This window comes from Homo sapiens, chromosome 6, assembly GCF_000001405.40.
Source record: "Homo sapiens chromosome 6, GRCh38.p14 Primary Assembly".
Classification (NCBI taxonomy): Eukaryota; Metazoa; Chordata; class Mammalia; order Primates; family Hominidae; genus Homo; species Homo sapiens.
In genome coordinates, this window is record NC_000006.12 from 87050767 (window position 1) to 87062976 (window position 12210).

Sequence of the window (12210 nt, forward strand, 5' to 3'; positions counted from 1 at the left end):
ATACAATACTTTTTTTCAAAAAGTGGAATTAAACTAAATTTCTCAAAGTTGCACCCATCTTGCCTCATGCATAGTTCCTTGATTACAGATTTAACCCCAAAATTCAGGTAAACATTCTCACCCACATAGTTTAAAAAGCACATCAGGGCCAGGTGCAGTGGCTCACACCTGCAATCCCAGCACTTTAGGAGGCCAAGACAAGCAGGATTACTTGAGGCCAGGAGTTTGAGATCAGCCTGGACAACATAGTGAGACCCCATCTCTAAAAAAAAAAAATTAAAAAATTAGCTGGGCATTGTGGTGCATGCCTTAGTCCTAACTACTCAGGAGGCTGAGGCAGAAGGATCTTTTAAGCCCAGGAGTTTGAGGTTAGTGAGCTATGATCATACCTCTGCACTGCAGCCTGGGTGACAGAGTAAGACTCTATCTCCAAAATAAAAAATTGCAAAATAAAATCTAACATGCAACACATTAGCTAGAAACTCACATACTAAATGGAATGTGATGAGAGAAAATTCTAATGACGAAGGTGCAGAATACAATCAAGGTGCTACTTTAATCCTTAAGGAAACGGAGTGTGATAAATGAGGGTAAAAAGAAGTTTATCGTTTATAAAGCTGTGAATTATTTGTTGTAAACCAAATAATTAAAAACATACACTACTGTTATACAGGCATTGAATGTCCTTGAATCTTCGGAGAATGATTATTTGACATTAAAAACAACAAGAGAAACTACTGATATGTTATTCTGCTCAGTTTTTCAGCTAACAGACAGATATTGTTAAAAAATCTCTCAAACACTCATAATAATAATAATAAGTTTAACACACACATACAATATACCCACTCTGAAAGTATGGAAAGATTATAAAATGTCAATAAATGGCTTTTATTTTTCCTTTTCTACTTATCTTTATTCCTAATTTTTCTACAATGAAACTGAATTACTTGTATAATTTTTGAGAGTTAAGTTTGTTGAAATATTTATGCATAGAAGAAGAACAGTTGCTAGCCAAACTTGTGGTACCTGAACTAAAAAAATTAATTAAAAAGTACTTCACCCAATCTTCACGTTATATATGAAAAAACTGAGGTGGAGAAAGATTATGTCATTTTTGCTAATAATGGGCTGAATGCATATATTATGTAACTCAGTAGTTCTCGATCCTGGCTCATTTAAAGGATAAAAACAAAAACAGACCTGACTGGACCCTATCCCAGAATTAGAATTGAATTAGAATTGGGGTTACTATTTACCAGAAGCTCCAAGTTCCCCACACTGTCGCCAAAGAATCTAAGAAAAATGGGGAGAGGGGACATCATTACATCAAAATAAATATGATGGCAACTTTAACAAACATCTCTGTAAGAATTTCCATTTCCTAAACATACGTATCCATTAAATGTGTGATCCAGCTCATTCCAAAACAAAGTTTGGCAATAGGAATGCTGTATCTATCTCTTATACTAAGGTTGTAATTGCTGCTTCTTTGCATCTTTTAGATAAATTTAGGTTTCAGACTCTGCAAAGGATTATAAGAGTAATATTTATTGAATGCTTACTAGGTGCCATGCATTGTTCTACATGTGTTACTCACTTAATTATCTCAATCCAATATAGTAAAACAGAATAATGTGCTCCATCTCACAGGCTAATGAGAAAAGGGAAAATATAAATGTAATAAATAAATGATTAAATTTATAACAAGGTAAGTTACGTGGTATCTCATTGGCACTGTTAAATGAAGGGTTCAGAGTGTTTGAATAGAGAATAAAAGTGGTAGAATTTAAGTATCATAAAGCACATTGAACATGCTGACAAAAACAACAACATTGTGACAGTCAGAATCATATTCACTCTGCTAGCCAACATACTGCTTATATACACCAGCTGAGATAGATCATTAGGATAAATGTGACACCTATTACCTACCTGTTTTTTGGTTGAAAGAAACTTTTTAAGCTGGGCGTGGTGGCTCATGCTTGTAATCTCAGCACTTTGGGAGGCTGAGGAGGGTGGATTGCTTGAGCCCAAAAGTTCGAGACCAGCCTGGGCAAAATGGTGAGACCCCCGTCTCTACCAAAACTACACAAAAATTAGCCAGGCATGGTAGCATGCACCTGCAGTCTCAGCTACTAGGGAGGCTGAGGTGGGAGGATGGCTTGAGCCCAGGAGGCAGAGGTTGCAACGAACCAAAATCATGCCACTGCATCCCAGTCTAGGAGACAGAGAAACGTTTTAAATCTTCAATATTGAAATATACCTTTATAAGTCCATTTAATAGATTACTGGTTTAATAGAAATTTATTTTTAAAGGCAAGATAATATCAATAATAATAAGGACTCAGATGATGGTCCACTATGTTCAAGATCAAAAGAATCAGATCTTCAAATGACATATAAAGCCCAAACATTTTTTATATTTTTGTATTAAATTCAGTATTATAAATTTTTAGCAAAATATTATGTCACATTAGTCTTAACCTTGGTTTTATAGATGTAAATATTTAAATATTATAAATAATGTAGGCCAATACAAAGGGCCCTAGAAATTTGCCCTTAAAAGAGGTCCATATTTTACTCCAGTCTGAGAAACACTGGATAATGTCTAGAATGTTTTCCAGCTGTACATTTTTATGTCTCTGATCTTTTTTTCATCACCATGTGCCCCATTGCCAGCCAGGCATCTTTCACAAGCATATGAATGGTGATCATAGGCAAAAAATGAGAATGCTGTTCAATCACGGAAAAGCTGTCATCACAACTGAGATGCTAACACAGAGCAATTGATGCTGAGACACTCAGGTCATTTTCAGATAGAAAAGACAGCATGCATATATTGTGTGAAATCTAATTCATCTACTTCATGCACAATGTATTATCCTAAAAGAACTATTTTATAAATAAAAATGAACAAAGTGAGTTTTCCTAAAATGGACTGAATGGAAAGTTAATGAATGCTATCTGTTCATGATACCAGGCTGCTTATCAAAGACCCACCATTGGAAAGAAATGTCCAGATCTATCTTATCTAAAATTTTCAGTAAGCCCAAGAAAAGTAGCAGGCAGCCTTCTGGCCTTGCTGGACATGATTGTTCATGCTGGTTCTATTTTCTTGGTATTTCGAGCTATTTTCATAGCTAGCAGTCAGTCTTAATGTAATTCACATTTCCAATGCTTCTAGCCTTGATCTCTTTGAAGGTCTTTGAAGACAGTTGGAATTTTTACTCTGAGATATCAGAATATTGCATATGTTTCAATATATAACTATCTTTTGAGTTTTTTAATTTATGATTCCTATTAATGCCAATACATTTATCAAGGTTTTACCAGTTTAAAAAAACTTGCATCAATTCTTCTGTTTAGGTGAAGTGAAAACATTGTGCAGAGAAAACTGCAGTTACTACCAACTGCAAGCTGGGGTGAATCAGCTTGTTTACAACTTCTAAATTTTTTAAACCAAAAGAAACGACAGAACAAAAGTTTCGTGAACTTCTGGGGTTGGGTTTGTCAGTCTGGCTGTATGCTGAGGGTAAGAAGCACTAAACACAAAAACAAAATGAAAAGGAACTATTTTAGTTTTAGTTTCCTCTTCAGCAAAATGGGGTTTTCTATTTCCTCCACAGGGATTTTCAGAGAATTATAATGCATGGCATAGATGAAACACCTGCCACAAACTACGCACTCAATGTAAGTTTTTCTCTATTTTCCTTTTTTTCTTTTACTTTTTTCTTCTTTTTCTGAGACAGGGTCTCACTCTGTCACCCAGGCTGAAGTGTAGTGGCACAATTATAGCTCACTGCAGCCTTGACCCCCTAGATTCAAGTGATTCTCCCAGCTCAGCCTCCCAAGTAGCTGGGACTATAGGCACTCACCATCACACCCAGCTAATTTTTTTTTTTTGTAGAGGCAGTCTCACTATGTTGCCCTCACTGGTCTTGAACTCCTGGTCTCAAGCAATCCTCCCACCTTGGCATCCCAAAGTGCTAGGATTACAGGCATGACCCACTGCACCCAGCCTATTTTTCAATACTGTTGTTACCATAATAATTATTACACTTATTATTAACCCAGTACCTGGCTCTGAGTAGTTTTCAAATAAAATTTAATTCCCATACCCTTGTACTCAGGGTATAGGAATCATCCTTTTGAATTTTAGCACATGGCACTCAGTAGATTCAAAAGCGAGGTAGGGCATTTCCAACCCTCCCTGAACCCCCTACTGCTGCCCCTGGCCCACTCGGTGCAAGTTAGACTCATACTGTCCAGAAACAGTGGTTCCCCTTAAAGTCCTTGAAGACTTTGTCTCTTCCCCTCTGCCCATTCTCCTCCCTGCATAATGATTAATACAATTAACATTTGCATTACCTTTTACAACTATAAAAGTGTATTCACCTACATCATTGCATTTAATTCTTATAATATCTTCACTATTTTTATCTCCAGTTCATGGATGAGAAAACTAAGGCTCAAAGAAATTAATGACTTAATAACAATAATAACAATAGTAGGTAACATTTATTTTATACTCACTTTGCTCCAGGGACTGTTCTAAGTACTTTACATACATTATTACACATTTAATCCTCAAAACAAGTCTAGTAGTGTGGTTCTCAAGATGTTGCATCCTGCCCTCTCACAGAGACAGCCTGTGAAATCCTTGGTATGATGAATACGATGATTTTCTTATTGAAGTAATTTTAAAAAGAGAGAATAACCTTGTTTCATGAATGAACACTGCCCTAGCCCCTTCCCCTGGTCCCTGTCTCATCTCCTCAAAATTCAATAACTGAAGAATTAACATCTGGCACAGTAAGAGACCTCTGGGAGACACCCCTGACGGGCTGGTGTCTGTGCCCTTGCCATGTTCAATATGTTTTCTACTAACTCTGACTAAAAAGACTCACTGAATAGGCCCCAGACTGATGTTCACTAGTGTCCTTTACTTAAAATGTGTCTTTTGGGTTTATCTCAGCAAAATTTAACTTATATGTGGTTTACATGCAGTGTGTTTGTATTTGCCCAACCTCCTTGGGATTGCATCAGGAACATACTAGGTGGCTATAAATGGCAGAACCCAGCAGTCCATGTTTGGCACCTTTACTTTTGGCAGAGTACCATACTGTCTTCCTCAGTCATCATGGCCATCTAGAAGAGAATCAATACTCAAATCCTAACCCTGTCCTCCTCCCAATATCCCAGGGGTTTCCAAACCTGGCTCATTAAATATATAATTGCCCAAACCCTACTCCACTAGGGGAAGAAATTAAGACTACCTAAATTTGGAATCCCAGAAATGTATCTTCAAGTATCATGATGACAGGGTGACATAGAAAACAAAGAGGCATTTAAACTCCCTAAGCCCAAGCACAACAGCTTCTAAAACCCAGGCAAAACAATTAGTTCTGCCTCTAGTTAGACTGAATGTAAAAGAGAAATGTCTTAGTCTGTTTTGTGCCGCTGCAACATAATACCACAGACTGGGTAATTTATAATAAACAGAAATGTATTGGCTTATGGTTCTGGAGTCTGGGAAGTCCAAGGTCAAGGAGCTGCATCTGGCAAGGGTGTTCTTGCTGTGTCACCCATTGCAGAAGGGCAAAAAAGGACAAGACTGAGAAAGAGAAAACGGGGCCAAACTCATCTTTTTATAAGGATCCCACTCCTATAATAATAAACCCACTTCCACAAAAATGGCATTATCCCCTCCAGAGCCCTCATGGCCTAATCACCTCCCATTAGGCTTCACCTCCCAACACTGCTGCATAGGAAATTAAGTTTCCAATACTTGCTTTTGGGGAGACACATTCAAACCATAGGAACGGATGATTATACTTTTTGGTTAGAAATTCTGCCACATAATGTTTTAGAAACATTTGCAGAATGAGAAACATTCTAAATGATTTATGGGGCAAAGTTGTCATCTCATCAAGCACACATTCCTGTCTCAGAGTTTTTGTTTTTACTGTTCTCTCTACATGGAATATTTTTCTCCATACAGGTGTTCATTTTCTTCATGTCTTTTCTCAAACATCATATTGCCAGTCCCTGTGTAAAACACAAATCTATTCCTATACCCTCCCGTGACCCTCTCTCCTGCTTGTTTTTCTCCATAGCCCTCATCTCCATCTGCCACAGTATATATTTACTTGTTTTTCACAAAATGCATATACAAATTATATAAATAAATTATATATCATATATATGCAATAAATTACATATAATAAATATATAATATAATTAGTATGTATTATATATATACTAAATATATAACTAACATACATGCTAACTAAAATATAAGGTATAATAGGGCAGGAAATTTGTATGCTTTGTTCATTGCTGAAATCCCAGTCCCTAGAAAAGTGTCTGGTACACAGTATGTATCAGTAAATATATGTTAAATATTCTCTATTGAACAAGAAAACACCAGTAGAGAAACTAGCTTTGTTTATGACAACTCTAGAATTCAGACACAAAAATTCAGAAGATGAGAATGAATCTTGCATGTGGAGCAAGAAGGAAAGATGAGTGGCACCCTGGATATGCACTGGGAATCTAAAGGTGAATTCATGTTGAGAAATTTGGTCTGAGACAAGTGCTGATACAGGGAAGGAATGAGCATGCTCAGAAACAGGAAATGAAGTCAGCAGAGGCAACAGGTCCCATTGAGAAGTTCTCTCAATGGATGTAGTTTCTTATGATGCTCTGTGTGCAAGGAGAAGGAAGAATTGAGGTAAAGCCCTTAAAAAGCAAAGAGAAATAGAGAAAAAAACAGGAAGCCAAAGATCTTTCTCTGTAGTCTAGGTTATCACTTACAAACTTCTATTGCTGACTGATTAAGAAATGAAAGGAATTGTTTTTTTCTTTTTTTTTTTTTTTTAGATAGATTCTTGCTCTTGTTGAACAGGCTGGAGTGCAGCGGCTCACTGCAACCTCCACTTTCCGGGTTCAAGCGATTCTCCTGCCTCATCCTCCCCAGGAGCTGGGATTACAGGCACCAGCGAGTACACCCAGCTAATTTTTGTATTTTTAGTAGAGACAGGGTTTCACCATGTTGGCCAGTCTGGTCTCAAACTCCTGACCTCAGGTGATCCACCTGCCTTGACCTCCCAAAGTGCTGGGATTACAGGCATGAGCCACCATGCCCAGCCAGGAATTTTTTTTTTTTTAAGAGACGGAGTCTTGCTCTTTCGCCCAGGCAGGACTGCAGTGGCGCTATCTCAGCTCACTGCAAGCTCTGCATCCCGGGTTCATGCCATTCTCCTGCCTCAGCCTCCTGAGTAGCTGGGACTACAGGCACCCGCCACTGCGCCCGGCTAATTTTTTGTATTTTTAGTAGAGACGGGGTTTCACCATGTTAGCCAAGATGGTCTCGATCTCCTGACCTCATGATCCACCTGCCTCGGCCTCCCAAAATGCTGGGATTATAGGCGTGAGCCAGCACGCCTGGCCCCAGCCAGGAATTTTTATATAAAAGGATCGGGGGTAGTTCAAAGTATCATAGGAGGGCTGGAGAATCAGGTTCCAAGTTAAGTGTTCAGAAATAACACCCTAAACTTCTCTAACAAAGAGGTAGGATTTGGAAAATACTAGAACCATGTCTCCAAAAGCCAATGGGAATATGCATTTTTTAACACAGACCCAGGATGTATTTTTTGACCCAGAAGGTCAAGACTTGGTTAATCTTCACTAACAAGGATGGTTGTTCAGGTAGCTAATCATGCCTGAGTACAGCACAGGAAGCCTGGTTTAGGGACTGAGCTACTGGACAGGAATCATGGCTGCTAATTGGTAAGGGAAAGCAGGGAAAGTGGAAAACAGAAAGGAATGGCTGACATGGGGCACAGGGCCTGTAGTCCTACATGAGGCTTGTATTGTCTTAAATTAGATTCAAAACTCACAAGAACCCCTGCTGCTTAAAAGAGAAGGGAAGGAAAAGACACAGGAACAGGAGGAGTTCCTGCGTCTCTTACCAGGAGGTAAGGAGGCTATGTTTTCCATGGGATTGGTCCCAAAAGGGTCCCGACAAGAATGTTTCCAGGCATGCCAGCATCCTCCTTCCTATCACACAGCAGAGGGGCTGATGGGTTCAGGCCATAATTACAAGTTTCCAGAAGGGACTAAGAATGGATACTAGAACTGAAAATGGCAATTCAGAACAGAATAATACATCACATACTCCAAACATAGCTAAGAATGAGGAAATAAACAAAACTGACTGAAAAGCCAATATAGATCATCTGTCACAGTCTACTACAGTTTATGTACTTGCTCGGAGAAGAAACTCAGGTTCTTTGCTGTGTCCACTTAGCTTTTTTATGCGAAACTCTACCTAGTGTAAAACCTACATTCCAAGACCTCAACAGGTTAGAAGCAGGAGAAAGGCCAACACAAAACTTCACAAGGAATAGCAGACAGCAGTTTGATATCATGGGATGAAACAGACCATCAAAAATTGAAAGCCTAGTACACACTCAATAGCTTCTGTGACATCATTAAATCTGAATAAATTATTATAAAAGAATTTCTCTATTTATTCACTCATTTATATATTTATGAATAATTATTCAATATCTAGGATGTGTAAGGAAATAGGCTGGTTGTTGAGATACAACTGTGGATAAGACAAAGTTCCTGTTCATAAGAAAGGCTTAATCTAAATGAGGTTACAGATTATTTTAATACAATACACTTGGTTACTATAGAATGATAGAGTAAGACAGAGAATGCTATAGTGCCACAGAGAAAGGGAATAAAACCCACTAGAGGAAGCTCAGGAGAGGCTTTTAGAGAAACTAGGATCCACACCAGAGCCTGAGGGATAATTAGGAATTAGCAGGTGGGGAGGGAGGAGGCGGGGGAGGCCAGGGAGGTGGGGGGAGGGGGGAGGCTGGAGGAGGCAGGGGGGAGGTGGGGAGGCAGGGGGAGGGGCAGTCAGGGGGAGGGGGAGGCAGGGTGAGAGGGAGGTGGGGGAGGTGGGGGAGGGGGAGGCGGGGGGAGGGGGAGGGGAGGCGGGGGAGGTGGGGGAGGCAGGGAGGAGGCAGGCTGGGGGGAGGCGGGGGAGGCGGGGAGGAGGGGAGGCGGGGAGGAGGGGAGGAGGGTAGGTGGGGGGAGGGGAGGCGGGGGAGGCTCGAGCATGGGGGAGCTGCAGGTCCCGAGCCCTGCCCCATGAGGAGGCAGCTGAGGCCCCGTGAGAATTCGGGCACACCCTCCACAGCTGCTGGTCTGGGTGCTAAGCCCCTCACTGCCCAGGGCTGGCCACAGTGGCCAGCCGCTCGGAGTGCAGGGCGCACCAATCCCATGCCCACCCAGAACTGGCGCTGGACCACGAGCACTGTGCACAGCCCCGGTTGCTGCCCTTGCCTCTCCCTCCACACCTCCCTGCAAGCAGAGGGAGCCGGCTCCGGCCTCGGCCAGCCCCAAGAGGGGCTCCCACAGTGCAGCGGCAGGCTGGAGGGCTGCTCAAGCACAGCCAGAGTGGGCGCTGAGGCCAAGGAGGCACCGAGAGCCAGCGAGGGCTGCGAGGGCTGCCAGCAGGCTGTCACCTCTCAATAGCGCAAGAGGCTACGTTTTCCATTCCAACCAAAAGTTGCTTTCAGTGAAGAAAGAAGGCAATGGTGTTCTAAGAAACATCACTGATCAAGAATATCTATGATATCCTTTCTGAAAACAATGACTTAGAGAAAAAGCAGGGCAGAGGAGGAGTAACTCATAATTCTTTCTTATTTCAATTCTTCCTTAACTCATCACTAAATAAAAGGTAGGAGTGTTGGTAGAACATGCATGTGTTAAAAACTGGAAAAAGGCCGGGCGCAGTGGCTCACATCTGTAATCCCAGCACTTTGGGAGGCCGAGGTGGGCAGATCACCTGAGGTCAGGAGTTCAGGACCAGCCTGGCCAACATGACGAAACCCCGTCTCTACTAAAACTATAAAAATTAGCCAGGCATGGTGGCACGCACTTGTAGTCCCAGCTACTTGGGAGGCTGAGGCAGGAGAATTGCTTGAACCCAGGAGGCAGAGAATGCAGTGAGCCGAGATCTGACCTGTGCACTCCAGCCTGGGTGTCAGAGCGAGACTCTGTCTCGAAAAAAAAATAAATATCTGGAGAAAAAAACCAGTTGAGGCAGTTGAGGTAGTTGCATGAAGCGTCTCCACTCCGTTGAAGAGAACCAAAGACATATACATACATGTACGAGCTACAAAATACAAATTGGGTAATTTCAGTGATTCAAAATAGGAGATAAGTGTTCTTATATTTAAAAACAATATGAAGATGAATGGTAAAATTCATGAAAAGAATTAAATTTTTAATTTTTCTGTACTTAGAATAACATTAAGTAGCAAATAAAAACCACTGGAGAGAGAGACTACTTAAGAAAGGAAAAGGCTTTATATTTTTTCCCTGCTGTTTGGAAAGGGGGCCCTGCATTTTTATTTTGTACTGAGTCCTGCAGATTATGTAGCTGGCCTTGTGATGGCATAAGTTAGCTAGTGTGACATGGAAGTTCAGAATTAGAGGAAGCTGCTATGTATTGTATCTGTGGAAGGTGAGAAGGAGGAGGGAGAGACTGGAGGCAGGAAAGACCATCTGGCAATGTGGTTGCATGGGGAGAAGAGGGGCTTTGTATATCATTGAGAAAATATCAATTTTCAGGATCAAATTATGGAGAAAAACTAATGAGATTCTAGAAGAGTTAAATTCCTGCCAAAAGCCACTCCTGATGCTACAGCTTCATGCTAGAACATTAGACCACACCCAAGGATAAAGGGGGTTGTGGAAGAAAAACAACCCAACCGATTTGCATTATAGAAAGATTACTTCATGTGGAGAACAGATTAAAGCATGAGAACTATTGGGATCCTGGTAAACAGGCTTTCCAGTAAACCCCAAAACAAAGCAAAACTTCTAATTTGTAGCATTTGCTGATTTCAGGTGTGAATACCAACGCCAATGGCCAATTTCAAGCTACTAATAGTAATGACCAGCTGGCAAAATTCCTGAGTATTTAACAACGGCTCTCCTCAATCTGTAGGAGCCAGCTCCTGCTTCCCACTGCAATAAATGATTACATAGTTGATCATATCCTTGTATGAAAAATAGGGAGGCCCAGCACGGTGGCTCACACCTGTAATCCCAGCACTTTGGGAGGCTAAGGTCGGCGGATCACTTGAGCCCAGGAGTTTGAGATCAGCCTGGGCAACATGATTCAACCTCATTTCTCAAAAAGGTTAGTGGGTAGCTGGGACTGAGGCAAGAGGATCACTTGAGCTGAGGAGTTCAAGGTTGCAGTGAGCCATTGATTGTGCCACTGCACTCCAGCCTGGGGCAACAGAGTAAGACTGTCTCAAAAAAAAAAGGAAGATATATTTTATAATTTATACATATTTCCATCAAAATAAATATTTCTTAGATAGTTAATTCTCTCAAATCTGAACACTTTTGTTATTTATGCTGATTTATTCCTCCATGTTTTCAAGAGGAAACACACAGTGGAGAAAAATATTTTAAGAGCTAATGACTGAGAAGTTTATTTTGGGTTTTCTGCAGGCTTTTTTTTTTTTTTTTTTTTTTTGAGACAGGGTCTTGCTCTGTTGCCCAGGCTGGAGTGCAGTGGTGCAATCCTGGCTCACTGCAGCCTCAACCTCCCAGGCTCAAGCCATCCTCCCACTGCAGCTTTCCTGCATAGCAGAACTATAGGCATGCATCACCATACTGGCTAATTTTTTTAAATTTTTTATAGAGACAGGATCTCACTATGTTACCCAGGCTGGTCTCAAAGTCCTGGATTCAAGTGATCCTCCCATCTCGGCCTCTCAAAGTGGTAGGATTACAGGTATGAGCCACTACACCTGACGTGAGAAATTTTCAGAACTGATGGAATGCAACAACCTTTAGACTTAAGAAACCAACAAATCCCAAGAATTTAAAAAAAAAAAACCCTACACCAGACATACCATACTGAAACTACAAAGCTTAAAAGCAGCCTAAGGAAAGCAGCAAGATGGAAAGCTGACCTCAACTTTGCAACAATGGAAGACAAAACCCAGTGAAATGATATCTTTAAATGTGTGGAGGGAAATGACTACTGACCTCTAATTCTATATCCCATTGAAAGGAAGGACAGAAGGAAAGAAGGAAGGAAGGAAGGGAGGGAGGGAGGGAGGGATGGAGGGGAGTATATTAGTCCGTTTTCGTACTACTGTA